Source organism: Homo sapiens, chromosome 7 (genome assembly GCF_000001405.40).
Source record: "Homo sapiens chromosome 7, GRCh38.p14 Primary Assembly".
Taxonomy (NCBI): Eukaryota; Metazoa; Chordata; class Mammalia; order Primates; family Hominidae; genus Homo; species Homo sapiens.
The window spans coordinates 103,210,665-103,229,738 of NC_000007.14; the positions used below are offsets into that span (position 1 = coordinate 103,210,665).

The following is a 19,074-nucleotide window of genomic DNA, read 5'->3' on the forward strand; positions in this document are numbered from 1 at the left end:
AGAGAGAGTGTGTGTGTGTGTGTGTATGAAACTTGGCCAGCTACAGGGATTTTTGTGTGTGTGTGTGTGTGTATATGTGTGTATGTGTGTATGAAACTTGGCTAGCTGTAGGGATGTTTGTATGTGTGTATGTGCGTGTGCGTGTGTGTGTATGAAACTTGACTGGCTGCAGGGACATGTGTGTGCGTGTGTGTGTGTGTGTATGCACATGCCCCTGCTAGTGCACATGCATAGTTCAGGTTGTGGTGTGTCTGGAAACTAGTAATGTATTTATAAGTCTTGGATCTTAATTTTTTAAAATATAGCAGTTGCAGATCTAGCTATCAGTTTCTCTCACATTGCTGACTCTCCGCTGAATAGTTAATTCATGCATTGGCCCCTCTAAGTGGAGCCTTAGAAGAATAATTCGACATTTTGCCTTGATGGAAAAGAAACAGGCCAGTAGAGAAAATCTTCATTCTAAGCCAGCATGGGCCGAAAGGATGCAGGGCAGTAAACCTGCTCACATTTTACTCATTCCTCCTTATTTCCTTTATCCTGACTCTTTCCACGTGGTCCGCAGGGAACTGGATCGAGGGTGAAACAACAGAGATGTCGAGGGAGATGCCTTTCTCACTCTTAAATTACTCACATCTCTGTGTAAACAAAGGAGTGAGAAGTGTGGCAACTAAAACTACATAGAGAAGATATGCAATTTGACTGTAAATACAGAAAACTCCTTTCAACAAGAACACAACTGGTATGGTGGTGGGGAAATCACATTATTGTTATCTGCTTAAAAGTATACAATAAATACATACTGGCTTAAGACTTCATAGCTTGTAAATAATATAAATAAAGATGGCTCAAGACTGCTTAAAAAAATACCCACTGTCTTTAACCATGCTTTTAGATAAACTCCACCCAGACCAAGAAAACCTACCAGTGGTATTTTAAAGATTATTTTTTTCATTGAGATGTTCTTTTCTTCTGTCATGAAAACAGTGAACATGTAGAAAAGTATTTTTTAATTAGCTATACAGATTTCTTCTACGCAGACTCACTCAAAATAGATCAAGACTTCACTGTGCTTTATATTTGAAAGATACTAACATTGTTGTCACTAGACTTTTCTTTCATAGCACCTATAAAAATTTTAATTCTTTAGACGTTTGTGGGATTATTTGCTTCATGTTTGCACCCCCACCCCCAATAATCCAGGATTGTAAGTTCCAAGACAGGAGCGGCCACGTTTTATTTGTCCGGGTGTACCTACAATGTTAATTTAGTCCTTGATACACAGTTGGTGACTGGTATATATCTTTTGAAAGAAAAAATAAGAATACCTTTTATCATGGCTTTTTATAAAAAGATCGATGATGAAAGATCTAAATAAAAAGCAAACTTTTAGAGAGAGGAAGAGTTCATCCTAAAAATAACATGGAATTCTGAGCAATTTGCATTATTATAGTCCTTATATTGATGCCAAAAACAAATAATAATTTGTTTAAAAATACCTTTTTAAAGATAAAACATGTAATCACCATAACAACTGGAAGCAATAATGTCTTTGTGTATATCAGCAGAGTCTGAAATATACCAAATTATTCAAAATAGTTACAATTTTTACATTAAATTAGTAAACATCTATGTCAAACTAAGTGCCATGATAACATTCCTTAAAAGTAAAAGGTTAAATTTCTTTGTCATCAGCAGAATATATATTTATTGTCTTCCATGCCTTAATGAAATAATTAAAATTATAAAAATAGTTATAAAAAGTATTCCAAAAATTTAATGAAAAATTTATTATTTTAATAAAACTAGAATTGCTATATCTATTTTTTCTTTTCTTTTTTTTATTTACATAATACTAAGTTTTAAAATGTGTGTTTACCGATCCCTGGGTCCTACATTGTAACTTTCTGTACTACACAGCTCCATTATTTTCATTAGTGAAACTAGAGCTAACAAGAAAGAAAGCTAACCAAAGTTAATGACTAAAACTATGCATAAGTACAGAAATAACATTGGCTAACTAATTCTGATGACCTGTTATTGTGATAAGGAGTAATTTACCATGTAACTAAATTATACATTTCTTAAAAGCAAGAAACCAGTTCATTTTCCTCTTTGTTGTGCTATAGCAAACCGCCTCATGGATAACTAGTGGTCAATAATAGTTTTTGAATGAATGGGATGACTGGTTGGATGGATAAGAGAAGAATGTAAAATTTTATTATTTACCACTAATTCAGAATTCATAATGATTACACAAGGAATAATCAATCCAGTAGCAACTTTGTTATGTTCTATGAAGAAAATTAAGCTACAAATAGAGGAAAGAGCCCTGGATTGAGAGTTCCAGAATCCATTAGAATCCATGTCCTGATCTTGGCTTGTGTGTGCTTTAGGCAAACCTTTTAAGCTTTTCTTTATCTGCAAATGAAAGAACTATATGGCATGGTCTCTAAGAGCCCTTCCTGATCTTGTGTTCCATGATTCTACAAAGAGGCCAATTTTTTTTTCTTTTTTTTTGATACAGAGTCTCACTCTGTCACCCAGGCTGGAGTGCAATGATGCGATCTCAGCTCACTGCAATCTCCGCCTCCAGGGTTCAAGCAATTCTCCTGTCTCAGCCTCCTACTCAGGCTGGGACTACAGGCATGCACCAACATGCCTGGTTAATTTTTGTATTTTTAGTAGAGATGGAGTTACCACCATGTTGGCCAGGCTGGTCTCAAACTCCTGACCTCAAGTGATCTACCCGCCTCAGCATCCCTAAGTGCTGGGATTACAGGGATGAACCACCACGCCCAGCCTATATTTTAAAGCTTTATAACATGAACTTTTTAAAAAGAATAATACCTTGCATTTGTATAATTTAAAATGAATTTTTATATGTTCATTAAAACTCATCAGTAGCATACCTTTCTTGGTAACACCTTGTTAAAAATGTTATAATATTTGGGGTGTTAACTGTAATAAAACTGAATTTCTTAAAAACAGAAACAAGAATTTAGACTTTTTCCTGAATGGTCCCATATTTCCAAGTGGCCTAGATTATTAAAAGTAATTGATTTGGAATAATAGTAATTATTATGGGTCATATAGTATGTTAAACACTCTTCTCAGATTATCTCATTTAACCATCATCAATAACTCTATAAGATAGAGGCTATCTTTTTTTTTTCAACAGACAAAAAAACAAGTGAGGAAGGTAGATTAGCAAAAGTTACAGTAAAAAAATATAAAATAAGTTGACTGTTTCTGAGCAAAAATTTTGAGTTTCAGATTTTAAAAAAACCTAGAGCAAAAACTCATATTAGTAGAGAAGGAAAAAAGAAACATTCATACCGCTTTTTCCATGAAGTCAAATTCGGGAGAACAGGTGTATTTTAAAGTATCAAAATCTGTATACCTTAAGATTCCGGCTGCTATAAGATCACTCAGGCAAATCTGGGAGAAAATAAAGTAAAATGAATTAAAATTACACAAATGATTATAGCCTTAGCCAGTAATACTTTATTGATGTAAGAATAACAAAGTTTATAGAACAGATAAATCCAATGTATTTAGACATCCCACTAAGAAAACAAAAAACTACAGTGAACCAAATATACGATGTGCTGACTTCTCAAGATAACTGAAAATAAAGAGAAATATCATGAAAAATGAAAAGTAGAAAGAAGTCAGAAAAAATAAAGAGAAGATGATAAAGAGTGAGCTAAAATCAATATCTGCTGAGAAGAAACCACCATGTAGTTAATTATATTTTATAATAAGACAATTTATCATGAAAAACTGTTTTACTTAACCTCTTTCAACATACATTGTAGGTCATAAGCTTTCTGTGCACTGTCATTTTCACAAAGCCTTGCAGACTGATTACAATATTTGGTACTTCTTGATGTTTTACAGACATATATTCAAACCATTGCATATGAGACCTGATCCTCATAAGAATTACAACAGTTATACACACCACTTTGATCTTTGACTTAGCTATTTGATCTCCAAGGCTAAAAGTAGATACCAACAACCAAACCCAATGCAGAACTTCTATTTTTCTACTATTATTTACAACCTGCTCTTGGTGAGACAATTATTTTTCCACAGCATCCTCAGAAGGCCAGAAAAAGGAAAATATTTGGCAAGTAAACTCTTAATTCAAATTATTTTATAGTGACAGAAATTATTTTATAACAAATTTGATGATTATGAGTGGTTTTCATTCAATTATTTTTCCTAATTTACCAGTACTCAAGGATAATTTAGAGTTGCACTTTATTTTTCTAATTTAGAATAGGCCTGGTGACTAATAGTAATTTAACCAAACCACTATAATTTCAGGTATTCCTCGTAACTGTCACATAAAGGAAGTCACTCAGGACTACCAAGGAAGTGTGTTTGCTTTTTTTTTTTTTTTAATTTGTAGGGCAGGCATGGTGGTTCACACCTGTAATCACCAGCACTTTGGGAGGCCAAGGCAGGCGGATCACTTGAGGTCAGGAGTTTGAGACCAGGCTGGCCAACATGGTGGAACCCCATCTCTACTAATAATACAAAAATTAGCCGGGTATGGTGGCACATGCCTATAATCTCAGCTACTCAGGAAGCTGAGGCACAAGAATCACTTGAACCCAGGAGATGGAGGTTGCTATGACCCGAGATTGGCCACTGCACTCCAGCCTGGGTGACAGCGTGAGACTGTGTTTCAAAAAAAAAAAAAAAAAAGATTTAGATTTGTAAAGAGCTGGGGGTCAACGTGAAGTAAGGCAAGAAACATAATCATGAACAAACTTAACAGATAAATAAATAACTTAGAAGGTCTAAATAAAGTTTATCATAAGACATATATAATAAAGTTAAAAACAATAAAAAGGAAAGGAGAATGGGGAAATGTGTCAGACATGCCAGAGAACAGCAGCAACAAATAAACTAATAAACCACCATGCAAAACTAGCAATAAATGGCAAATGCTTACATTTAGAAATTTTATTTAATATAAACATGTTGCATGTTGTATTGCATAGAGATAGCATTTGACCTTTTAGAGAAGTAATACTATAATCCCTTGCCAAAGTACATAATTTCAGCATCAAACAGGGCCCTAATTGGATAGCATTAAATGAGGTAAATTTCAAAATTGATTATTGTATGATATACTCATGTATGCTTATTTCTAAACAGAAAGTGCTAGAAATAAAAAGTAGATTCATGCATTGTTTTCTATTCCCTAAACCAGTTAGTTAAGCAGGGACTTAGGCCTTGAAAAGGGCTACTCTTTAAAACATTAACAAACAGAAATACTACATGAGAGATAAATGCTCTGCATGTATTTCCTAGAAAATGAAAAGATCAAAATTTTTTAACATTCTCTTTTTATATAACAAGAAAGGCCTTAAAACATCAAATCATACATTGATTTTAGTCCATACTTATAAATAAATAAAACAATACTGAGATTTTAAGAGTTCTATATTTTCAAAGCTTAGGACAGCCTCCCGTATGTTAACATCTGCAATAAATGGATAACTTATGATGTAAACAACTAATTATTTGTATTTTAACTGAAATATAAACAAATAACTACTTAACAAACTATTAATATGTTTTTACTAAAAGGGCAAGTCAGCATTCATGAATATTTTTTCTTTTTAGTGACTTTATTATTGACTCTGCCAATAACTCGTCTAGAGACCTTAAAGAAGGCACTTAACTTCTGTAAAATGAAGAGATAAGAATAGATGGTTTCAAAGTTTTCATTCAGCTACATATTTATAAGAACTTTTATGTTTTAACTAAAAAGTACTTACATGGTCTGAAACGCCTAAGATTTTAGATGTCAGAAATTTCAAAATGATTGTTCCACACCACCAGGCACTACCTTGAATTAGCTAGAAAATAAAATAGAAGTCCAGTATTTAAAACTACAAATCACCCAGCTAAAGTATTCAATTATATCTATAAATGACACAGAAAAAATTTAATTATGTGAGGTATAAATGGTGAAGTTTTTTAAAAAAGTTCCTTTAGAAAATCTTGTTTAAAAGCAAAGAATTAAAACTGATGACACTGGTATAAAATATATAGCAACACTAGAATTCTACATATCCTAAATCTTTTTTTTTTTTTTTTTTTGTCTTGAGTGAAAGGTTAATAGCCAAGAAAGAAAGAAGGAAGAAGAAAACAGCTCCCCGTACAGAGACAGAGGAAGGGGGGATTTGAACAAAGAAAAAACCCCGTGTGCATCGGAAAAGTGGCTGCTTATACATATCCTAAATCTAAAGGAAGTTTTGTTGTTGTTGTTGTTGTTGTTGTTGTTGTTGTTGTTGTTGTTTTGAGACGGAGTCTCGCTCTGTCCCCCAGGCCCGGAGTGCAGTGGCACGATCTCTGCTCACTGCAAGTTCCGCCTCCCGGGTTCACGGCATTCTCCTGCCTCAGCCTCCCGAATAGCTGGGACTACAGGCACCCGCCACCATGCCTGGCTAATTTTTTGTATTTTTAGTAGAGACGGGGTTTCACCGTGTTAGCCAGGATGGTCTTGATCTCCTGACCTCGTGATCCACCCGCCTCGGCCTCCCAAAGTGCTAGGATTACAGGCGTGAGCCACTGCACCCAGCCAATCTAAAGGAAGTTTTAAAAGGTTACTTCCTTTTGATTTCTGTTAAGAAAAGGGAGTGTTTATGTGTTTGTTTCCAAATATTATTTCTCAGCTGAAAATCCATTTTTTAAAACACTACCTTAAAAGTTCTTCTACCACTCCTGTGGAAATATATGAGCCCATCTTCAAGAAATAACTGTTTGAAATGTGAAAACTTAAGCTTTCCTTTAAGAAAGAGGAATATGAACTACAACGGCAATGAGGCTTCTGTGTTGTTGTTGTTGTTTATTTTTTGACTAGCCTTGATTAAAAAGGGAACAATTGTGTACTTCTGGTTAGCCTGGGGAAAGTTATAGCAGCCTAAATTCAAATCTCTGCATATATCAACCAACAAGTACAGCAATACAACCACATACATGGCAAAAAACTTCAAATTACCTATGAATGGAAAAGGAGGCAACGAATCTATAGAGTTATACCTCAAGTCCCTGACCTAAGCCTTTGCAGAGAATGAGGGGAGACCCATAAAAGGATAAAGAAGAAAAGGAAAGACAGGGGTCAAAATTGGAAATAAAATAACCCAAGAAAGAGAAAAGTCCATCCTATGTGTAAAAAGAGCTCTGGGAGATTGGTAAATGGGAGTACAGAGCATTAGGCAGTCCCTAAGAGTGAGTAGGGACAAAAACACCGATGTTAGAAAGCCATCATTTCTGGAAAGAAAGGAGGATAAAAAGGGGAGTGCAAGAAGGAAAAAGTATCCAGCAGGAAAAATGAGAACCCAAACCAAAAGACTATCCATCACTACTGCCATCAAGCACAAAAAAAGAAGAAAGTTATTCATTGAAAAAAATCACACTATGCTACATTTTCAGAAGAGGTTTGCACCTGGACTAGAAAACACAAAATAATTAATAGATGAAAAAATGCCTATATAAATATCCAAAGCTTCTTTAAGAAGATAACAAACATGAAAGTCAAATATTTCAGCTAATGAAATCCACACCACTGAATGATAAAATCTCGCAAAACAGAAGAAAATAATGCAGAATTAAAAGTTGAACTAAATATCCTCAAATGAGCATTCAGAAATATTAAAAAAGCAATTTAAACAAGAAATTCAAAAACCAAGAATAGAAATGGGGAAAAAAGCAGAAAGAAATAAAGAGTTTATTAGACATAGAAAGGAAATGGAAGAAAAGGAGAATACTATCAAAAAAAATAAAAACAATCACAAGATGATAAAAAGAAAAATTCAAATAATGAAGGAATTGAAGTAAAGGCACTAAAACAATGATGAAGAATGAAAATGATACCAGAGAAAGAAGTGAGAAGTATCAGAGAAAGTGGTAGAAATGGAAGAAAGGCACATAATTATAACCGGAGTGCCTGAAAAAGAAAACCACAGCAATGAATCAAAACTAGTGTTTAAATTATAATCCAAGAAAACTTTCCAGAAATAAAAGAAGACCTGAATCGACATTTGGAAAGGATCCAGGGGGTACTGGAAAAAATTAATCTGGTATGGTAAACTAACTCAAGACATCTTTCAGTAGAACTATGAAAAATGAAGAAAAATTCCTCAGAACCTCCAGGCACAAAAGTCACATAATTTATAAGGGACAGAAGAATTTGGCTAGCATCAGACTTGTTAAAAGAAACATACAAACCAAAGCAGTGGTGTAGATGCATTTTTAAGAAACTTTAAAAATTGAGAACCAAGGACTTTATATCTGGCCAATCTGTCATTCAAGTATAGACGTTATTTTAAAAAGTTTCAAATATGCAACAATTGAGGAAATAACAGTAACTTTCCTAAATTAAAAAAGTTTAAAATAAAAGAGAATCATATACAGAAACAAAGCAAATATAGTCAAATACACATAAAACTTACAACAAGGGTTTTCACATTATCTCACAAAGCAAAGACAGACTCAATTTATGCTACACAGGGAAGACAAACAAAAACAGATTCAGAAAGGTGAAAAATAGAATGATGGCAGCAGCATGGCAGGCAAATGCCATTTCCATATGGAAACTAAGGAATACATTTAAAGCAAGGATAAGAAGCAAATTCATGGCTTCAAAAGCTTTATCAATAAAAATGAAAGAGTGAAAATAAATGAATTAAATCCTTGACTTAAAAATCTAAATAAAGAATAACGAAATAAAGCAAAAAAAGTACACGAAAGGAAATGCTCATGAGAAGAAGAGTCTATTATATCTACCCCTCTGTGTATCTACTTTGCTGTTTTATATTTCTTCCCTACATTCTAGGATTCCTTCTTGCATTTCCTTTTTGTTTCCAGAACTTTTTAAATTTTAAGTTCCAGGGTACATGTGCAGGATATGCATGTTTGTTACACAGGTAAACGTGTGCCATGGTGGTTTGCTGCACCTATCAACCCTTTACCTAGGTATTAAGCCCAGCATTCATTAGCTATTTTTCCTGATGCTCTCCCTTGCCCTACCCTCCCCTGACAAGCCCCAGTGTGTGTTGTTCCCCTCCCTGTGTCCATCTGTTCTCACTGTTCAGCTCCCACTTATAAGTGAGAACATGCAGTGTTTGGTTTTCTGTTCCTACATTAGTTTGCTGAGAATAATGGCTTCCAGCTCCATCCATGTCCCTGCCAAGGACATGATCTCATTTCTTTTTATGACTGCATAATATTCCATGGTATATATGTATCACATTTTCTTTATCCAGACTATCATTCATGGACATTTGGGTTGATTCCATGCTATCAAAAAAGAGCTCATATAGCCAAGACAATCCTAAGCAAAAAGAACAAAGCTGGAGGCCTCAGGCTACCTGACTTCAAACTATATCACAAGGCTACAATAACCAAAACAGCATGGTACTGGTACAAAAACAGGCACATAGACCAATGGAAGAGAATAGAAAACTCAGAAATAAAACCACGTATCTACAACCATCTGGTCTTCCACAAACCTTACAAAACAACTTCAATTAACCATTCTTTAAGGTTCTCTGCTAGCCACAAATTATCTTAATTTTCATTGATTAGAGAATGTCTATTTCCCCTTCATTCCTAAAGGAAACATCTACTGGATATGTAATTCATCTTGACAAATGTTCTGCCCCAACCTTCTGGCTTCCTTATTTTCACATAAGAAGTCTGCTACAATTCAACTCAATTTTGCCCTGTAGGTGATGTGTCATTTCTCCATACCTGCTTTCAAGATTTTTTTCTTTTCATTTTAAAAGTTAACTTATAATGTATCTTTGCATGGATTTCTCTAGGTTTGTCTTACTTGGGAATCGCTCAGTTATCTTCACTCTGCAGATGTGTCTTTCACCACATGTGGGGAGTTTTAGCAATTACTTCTTAAAATACTATTCAGCCCCACTCTCTTTTTCCATTCCTTCTGAAATTTTGATGATACAAATATTAGATCTTCTGTTACTACACCATAGGTCCTGGAGGCTCTGTCCTTTTTCCTGTGATTTTCTCTCAATTTAGATTGGGAGATTTCTATTGTTCTGTCTTCAAGAGCACTGATTGCTTCCTCTGTAATATTCACTCTGCTACCAAGTCCACTTATTAAATTTTAATTTCAGTTATTGTATTTTTCAGTTCTATAATCACCAAGTTGTTCTTTCTTTTTTTTTTTTTTTTGAGACGGAGTTTCGCTCTGTCGCCCAGGCTGGAGTGCAGTGGTGCGATCTCGACTCACTGCAAGCTCCGCCTCCCGGGTTCACGCCATTCTCCTGCCTCAGCCTCCCGCGTAGCTGGGACTACAGGCGCGCACCACCATGCCCGGGTAATTTTTGTATTTTTAGTAGAGACGGGGTTTCACCGTGTTAGCCAGGATGGTCTCGATCTCCTGACCTCGTGATCCACCCGTCTCGGCCTCCCAAAGTGCTGGGATTACAGGCGTGAGCCACCGTGCCCGGCCAAGTTGTTCTTTCTTAAAAAAAAAAAATTCTGTGGTGAGCTTTTATAGCCTTTTCATTTGCTTCCAGAGTATTTAAAACTGCTCATTGAAGTGTGTTTATGATGACTGCTTTAAAAACCTTGTCACATAATCCCCACATCCTATTCATCTCAGTGTTGACATCTGTTGACTGTCTTTTCTCATTCAAGTTGTTATTTTCTTCATTCTTGCTATGATGAGTGGTTTTTCTACTGTGTCCAGTACATTTTTATATTATGTTAGAGACTGTGGATCCTCTTTTAAATTTCTATTTCAGCAGAGAGTCACTTTGTTTTTAGGTTTATCACGCAAGTCCTGGCCTACTTCTGTTTGCTATAGTTACAATGACAGTTTAGTTTTCAGAGCCTTTGCAGTGCTAGTGCTATTCTGGTCAGCTTGATTCATCTGGTGCCCTGGTGCTCCGTCTCAGCCCCAAATCATGCTACCAATGTAGGAAGAATGTACTTCCCATGTCGTGTTGCCATGAGGTGGAGGGTGAGAGACACCAGGATTGTGGGCTAGGAGGTCGGTAAAGAGCAGAGGGCTCCTTCCTGGGCTGCCTAGTCCTAGCAGGGCACCTGTTAGATCCCTGCTGCTGCTACCTGCATGGGAAGCCTTCTTGGAGGGAATAGTAGATACCAGACCCACAGCATGGAGAGCATTTCCCTGGACCCTCTTTCTGAGTGTCTTCTGCCACTGGATGGAGTTTCAGGAGATGGCAGCCTGTGGTGTTTTTCTGTGAGTTCTGAGGTACCTAACTAGTTTGCCTTTCTATAGCATTATGCTGGGATTGGAGCTATAGTTATGAAATCATGATTTCATACACACACACGTGTGCACATACGTGCAGTGAAAGGGCCTAGAAACAAGGACACACTGGCAGTAATGAGTGCACATACCACTCAGGTCTTGGTTTCCAAATACCATTCTCCTCTAAAAGGAAGCAGGGCTCCTTGGAAAAATGGCTGATTCCAAGGCTAGCACAAGGAAAATCAAGAAAAGCCTGGAGCATTATAAATTTATAAAGACATGTCAAAAAGACATCCAGCTTAGGAACATTCAAAATGGCTAGGCCTGGAACTGATATTTGTGTATAACATACGGTTTTTCTCATATAGATAGACTATTCCAGCATCATTTAGTGAAAAGTGACCTGCAAGACAATCTTGCTGAAATTGCTTTGAATCTGAACATCAACTGGGGAGAACTGAATTACATGAAACTTCATACATATAAATGTGTTTTATTTTTCTATTTATATCTTAGAAATTTTAAAATAAATTTCCCCATACAAATACTGTATGTATTTTGTTAGATTCATTCAGATCCTATGCATTTTTCTAATACATAAGGCATATTTAAAAAAATATGTTTTCTGTGTGTTGCCAAAGAATAGAAATGCAATTGATTTTTTAATATTAAACTTATATCTAGCCATGGTATTGAATTCTTCTAATTTCTAATAATTTGTCTGTCAATCATTTTATTCTTTCTAGGTAAATATGATACTATAATAAATTTTGCTTCTTTCTGTTTCTTTCCTTTTCCTATTATTTACTTTTCTTGCATTACTAGGCTACTTTGGACCTTTAATAAAATGTGAAAAAGCACATTTATCTTTATATTGATTTTAAACAGAACACTCTAAATACCTTATTATCGGTAAGACTAATGACTGCTGAAGAATTTTACTGGGTTGAGAAAACTGTTATTTATATTGTGTTAAATGTTTTCATTATAAATGGGTGTTCAATTATATCAATTTTATTTTCTGCATCTAATGGGATGATCATAAGACATTTTTCTCTTTTAATCTCTTAGTATGATAATTTACATTTTTGGATTTTCCAGAAACATCTTTGGATTCCTAGAATAAGCCAGATTTATCACAAGTGGATTATCTTTATCAGATATATGGCTGCTCTTGAGTTACTAATCTTTTACACTTTTGTGTGTAAGGAATGTTTTTAATCTAGGTGAAATTTTGAATCTATGCTCATGAGTAAGAATATCCTTTCTCATACTATCCTTATCTGGCCTTAGTACTGAGCTTTAGATTATCTTGGAGGTTTCATTTCCCTTCTTGTAATGATTCTCATGCCTCATGGTGCACACAAAGTTCCCCTTTGTAAATTTTGTAAATTTCAGCATGCGCTCAATTCAATAATTACTTTGTCACCAAAAATTGGCGTCTCCCATTAAACAGTGAATTTGCTTCTATTGACGTTAAACTCTAAAATGAATCACTTAGATCTAAAAATACCTTCCTTGTTCAGGTTGTGTGTAATAAATACTTATTTTTGCCAAAGATATACAGAGCTAAAAACAGAAGATAATACCTAGGGAGGCTTAAAAAACATGTAAGCTGAACATTTGGTTAAATCTCAACTTTTCCCTCCTTAGATTTTTTGTTTCTTTGATATTCTTGATTTTAAAACTTAGTCAATTCATGTTCTTTCCAGTCTACTATTGAAAATGTTGTTGAAAATGAAGACAGTTAATTTTCCTTTGAGTGCAGCCTTGGCAGAATTTTTTTTGATGTTTATGGACACACTACTATTTATTGTCATTTTTCAATAGTTTGCAACTGAAATTCTGACCTTCTTTTATTAAATTGCTCAATTTTTCTGAAGTGAAAGAATTATATATTAGAAGTGTAATGTCGATATGTGAATTTCTACAAAGCCTGCATGCCTAAGGACAGGTGGCCTGGGTAAAGAGTCAAATTGGTAGAACCAATAAAGAATAATAAAAAGACAAAAAAAGCATCATGCCATTCATTCAACAACTTAGTGGACAAATCTTTCTATATTTTCACCATAAAGGATGGGAGAATGCCTCCAACAAGGAGAAAATAGCAACTCCTTCCATTTTGTTCTCTTGTATTGTGTGTAGGAACCTACCTCCTCAACTTGTAACATTTCCAGACTTATCCTTTCAATATATAACATGTAAACATACAGTTCATTTCTTCTGTCACCCAGGGTGGAGTGCAATGGGGTAATCATGGCTCACTGTAACCTTCCAGGGCTCAAGCGATCCTCCTACCTCAGCCTCCTGAGTAGTTGGGATCACAGGCTCATGCCACCATGCCCAACTAGTTTTTCTATTTTTTGTAGAGACAGGGTTTTGCCATGTTGCCCAGGCTGGTCTCAAACTCCTGGGCTGAAGCTCTCTGTCCACGTTGGCCTCCCAAAGTGCTGTGATTATAGGCGTGAGCCAGTGTGTGTGGCCCAGGGTTTATTTTTTAATAGAAGAACATCACAGACCAGAGAAAAAGAATATTGTCTGTCTCATATTAAGAGAATTTAGGAGTTGCACTACCTGCCTAATAACTTATTTTACTAGGAAACCATGGAGGTAATATGGGCCATCCATCTGCATATTTGGGAAGAAGCCAAGCAAAAATTAGGTAGTGGCTGAATTCAAATTAGAAGGGGCTGGGAGACTGTAAGGAAAATGTTAAAAGGACAAAAGTAATAGAGTCTAAAGTTGGAAGCAGAAGGAAAGAGAGACAGATGATGGATAGATGCAGAGGAAAGAAAAGGAGAAAGCTGGCAAGAAACTACAAACTTGAGTTATGGTGAAGGGAAGGTTAACTGAAGCTAAAGAGAGAAACTCAAGACAAACACATTTTAAAAAGCAAGGCTGTATGGATATAGCAGAATGAAACACAAAGGAAGAGTGGCCTGAAAGTTAGTTGTGAAATATGTGAGCTAACTTCTTGAAAATGATTTCTAGTCCTTGCGAAGGACTATTTCCTTACATATCTATCTACCTTAGATAGTAACTATTTTTAAGACAGTAGCTATTTATTAATTATAAATCATTAGCATTTTAAAGCATATTAACTGTGTTCAGTTTATAGAAATAAAAAGTAGAATTTAAATAAACTGCATTAAAAACATTGAATCTTACCCAGCAGTTGAGTTTAGATACTCCCAGTTTTTGAATTTCATTTCTCTTTAGAATTATTGCCTAAAATGCACATAAGGGAAAATGAAACAATTCAACACAATTAACATTTATATTTTGTATAAATGGTACATTTCAAAAATTATATAGCCACCCTGTTCCATCTCAGCTATCACCAGCCATTTTCCTCCTTAACTGTTGATTTTTCAAATTTTGGACAAATTTTGGCAAATTTCCTTGAGGTGAGAGTTAAATGGTTTGTGTGTCAAAAAGTTGCCTCGTTATTTCCTCACTTAAATACCCTGGCCATTTTCTGCAGGATAATTCCTCTACAAAGATAAATGGTATGTGAGCAGATGAGAGCATCCATGCAAGTCTGTATGTCAGTTATCCAGCAACGTTAGTGAACTAAACTAACATGAAAATCCTTCCTCTCCAAACTGCCGAATAAAATATTTAAACATGTTTAAAAAATTTATACTCATGTGAAAGAGAACTTCTCCGATGCTAGAAAAAAGATTATTTTTAAAAAATACAGTATTAATCAGCAGAGAAGCACCACCCCTGGCAGTCTTTATAAAGGCCTGTAGAATAAGGTTCCAACTATAGGCTTGTATTGTAAGGGGAGGGCAGCAGAAGAGGCCTTGGGTCTATGCAAGGTAAGAAGTTGGAATTGAGACTAATACATAAAGCTAGGGTCCTCAAAACTATACCTGCAGTGCTATGAACTGAGTATTTGTGTCCACCTCAAATTCACAGACTGAATCTTTAATCCCCAGTGTGATAGTGCTTGGAGGGTGGGCCTCTGGGAAGTAATTGAGTCATGAGGGTGAAACCCTCATGAATGGGATTAGTGTGCCCGTATTACAAAAACTAGAGAGTTGATGTCTCTCTCTACCATGTGAGGACACAGCAAAAAGGCTTCTGTCTGCAAACCACAAAAAGGGCTTTCACCAAGAACCAAATCAGCTGGCACCTTGATTTCTGAACTGCTCAGCCTCCAGAACTCTGAGAAATAAATTCCTGTTGTTTAAGCCATCCTGTCTGTGGTACTTTTGTTATAACAGCCCAAACTGACTAAGACACACAGTGACTAAGAATACTTCACCTACCATCTCTACAAGTTGATAGGTTATTTGTTTATTCCCAAGTTTGGGGTGAAAACAGTGCGCTCATGAGAAACTGAATTCTTCGACTTGCGTATTATTTAGACTTAGATTCCAATTTTTTATCATTTAGTTGGTGAAGAAATTCCCAAAGTGAGCCAGGATTACTAAACTTCCAATAGGAAAATATAAATGTATCAGATTATTCATTGCAACATTGTTTGTAAATGCAAAAGTTAGGCAACAACCTAAATGCCCAGACATAGGAGAGTGACTGAATTACAGTAAATCCACAGTAGAACACTAGGAAGCTACCAGAAAGAATGAGGAAAATCTCTATGAACTGATATCCAGGATAGGCTGTTAAATGAAAAAAAAAAAAAAAAGGGGAAAAGGCTATCTTTAATATAAGAAGAGGAGATATAAAAAATATACATGTAACAGTTATTAGTACTTCAAAAAGCCAACTAAATGGGTCAACCAGAAAACTAATGAGATTTCTTACCTACAGGGAATAGGCAGTAACAGGGTGAAAAGAAAGGTGGAGAGAATGTGCTGGAAGGAATAGTGGGAAGTATTTTCTGAGTATAATTTTATATATATCTTCCTCATTGAAACATGGTAATGTTTCACCCAAAGTAACTAAAATCAATCAGAATGAAACTTCTGCTTCTGTCCAAGTTTGTATAACAGGAACCACATTTACTTTCTCACCCTAAAAAACTAAAATACCAAGCAAAATAGATTATAGAGACAACTATGAACAATTATATGCCAACAAATTAGATAACTTATAAGAAATAAATTTCTAGAAACATACAACCTACCAAGAGTAAATTATGAAAACACAAAAAAACTCAACAGATCTATAACTAATAAGGAGATTAAATCAGTAATAAAAATTTTCTCAACAAAGGAAAACCTCGAACCAGATGGCTTCACTGGAGAATTCTATGAAACATTTAAATAAGAATTCACACCAATCCTTCTCAAGCTCTTCCAAATAACTGAAGAGAACACTTCTATACACATTTTATGAGGCCAGCATTACTCTGATACCAAATCCAGAAAAAGATACAAGAAAACTACAGGCCAGTATCTCTGATGAATATAGCAAAACACACACACACACACACACACACACACACACACACACACACACACACAAATATTTCTTTTAAAAATGAGCAAAGCACTTGAATAAACATTTCTCCAAAGAATAAATACAAATGTCCAACAGGTATTTAAAATGATGTTCAACATCACTTATCATCAGGGAAATGTAAATCAAAACCACAATGAGATACCACCTCAAACCTGTTAGGATGGCCATTATAAAACAAAACAAACCAAAACTAAACCAGAAGTAACAAGTCTTCGCAAAAATGTAGAAAAATTGGAATGCTTATGCACTGTTGGTGGGAATATAAAATAGTGCAGCCAAAGGGCACATCGGGTAGTCTACACAGAAGAGTTTGCTTCAGAGAGCAGCAATATTAGCCATAAACTAACTAGTACTTTAATTCCAGCTAACAAATCTTAAAAGCAAGACCTGAAAAGATCAGCCTATGTTCAAGTGGCTTAACTGCATCACAGAAAAAAGCTCAAGAATATCTATAGGAATAAGAAAATAATCCAGCAGCTAACAAGGTAAAAGTCACAAAGCCTGGCATCAAAGTAAACATTGCCAAGCATGCAAACACTTAAGAAAACACAACCCCGATATGAGAAGAAGAAACAATTAATTGAAACTGACACAGATGACAGAATTAGCAGGTGGAGGCACTGAGGCAGTTAGTATAACTGTATTACACATGGTGAAGAAGTGGTAACAGAGAAAGAACATGTTAACTAGAGACACAAAAATACTTCAAAGATCCAAAATGAACTTTTAGATATGAAAACTACAGTGACTTAAAAGAGAAATACACTGGATGTGATTAACAACAGGTTAGATACTGCAGAAAAACAACTAGTGAACTCTTGAAGACACAGCAATAGTAACTATCCAAAATTAAATAAATAACAAAAATAAACATAGGCTCCATGAACCACTGAACAATTTCAAGCAGGCCAATATACATGTAATGAGAGTCCCTAAATGAAAGTGAGGTGGGGAGGCAGAAAAATATTTGAAGAAATAATGGCCAAAATTTTTCCAAATTTGATAAAAATTGTAAACCTAAAGATCTAAGAATTTCAATTAATCCTAAATACAAGAAACATAAAGAAAGCTATAGTAAGGCACATTATATAAACAAACTGCTCAAAATCAGTGGTAAAGAGAAAATCTTATTTCTAGCTAGGAATAGCTAGAGAAGTAACATATTATTTATAGACAAAAGCGTAGAGATGTCAACAGATTTCATAAGAAAAAAAATGCAAACAACAAGACAAGTCAAGCAGCATCTTTTAAATTCTTAAAGAAAAGTGCTGTTAACCTGCAATTCTACACCCAGGAAACATACCTTTCGAAAACGAAGGCAAAATAAAGACTTCATGACCAGGTGATTTGCACTAAAGGAAACGTTAAAGGAGGTCTTTCAGACAGCAAGAATACAGTAGGTCAATCTGGCTGTACACAAGTAAAAGGCACCGAAAATGGTAACTACAGGGTAAATATATAACATTTTAAAAATTTTAAATACTTTTAAAAGGTAATTTACTGTTTAAATAAAAACAAAAATTTATTGAGATTTCTATATCACATGTTTAAGTAAAATGTATGACAATAACATGAAATAAATTTAAAAATGTACTTTATCAAAATATGTGGGATGTTGATAAAGCAGTACTTTGAGAAAAGTTTATAGCACTAAACACCTGTGTTTAAAAACAAAAAACAAAAAACAGGAAAGGTCTCAAGTCAATGACCTTGCTTTATACCTTTAAAAAAAAGAAAAAGACTAGAAAAAAAGCAGAGCAAAACCCAAAGTAAGCAAAAGAAATGAGGTAACAAAGACTGAGTAGAAATCAATGAAACAGTAGAGCAAATCAATGAAAACAAAAGCTGGTTCCTTGAGAAAATTAATAAAATTGATATACCTCTAACCAGACTGATGAGAAAAAAAAATAGAACACAAACATCTAATACCAGGAATGAAAGAGGAACTATCACTACAGATACTATAGATACATAAAAGAAATAAAATATTATGCCTTTGTCAATGAATTTGACATCGTAAATAAAATAAAAAAATTCCTTGAAAGATACAACAAAAGTTCACTCAAGAGGAAATGGATAACACGAATAGCCTTATACCTTATTAATGAAATGGAACTTGTAGTTAAAAACATTCCTACAAAGAAAGTCCTAGATGGTTTCACTGGTAAATTCTACCAAATATTTAGGGAAGAAATCCTAAGGATTTTACACAAATTCTTCAGAAAACTGGAGAAGAGGGAACACTTCTTAACTCATTTTATGAGGCCAGCATTGCCATGATACCAAAAAAGACAAAGATGTCACAAGAAAACTATGAACCAATTATTGTCATGCACTTAGGTGCAAAATCGTAAGTACAATTTTAG

General features: G+C 34.9%; 1 pseudogene across 2 annotated transcripts in view; it reads right to left on the reverse strand.

The window, feature by feature from the left end:
• DPY19L2P2 (DPY19L2 pseudogene 2) overlaps nt 1-19,074 on the reverse strand; it is a 105,454-nt pseudogene that overhangs the window by 35,652 nt on the left and 50,728 nt on the right. For both annotated transcript variants that reach the window (NR_027768.1, NR_003561.2), the window contains 4 exons: nt 14,441-14,500; nt 5,799-5,879; nt 3,337-3,438; nt 1,497-1,568 (listed from right to left, as the gene is read on the reverse strand). The product of NR_027768.1 is annotated as a DPY19L2 pseudogene 2, transcript variant 1 (transcript). The remainder of the gene's footprint in view (nt 1-1,496; nt 1,569-3,336; nt 3,439-5,798; nt 5,880-14,440; nt 14,501-19,074) is intronic.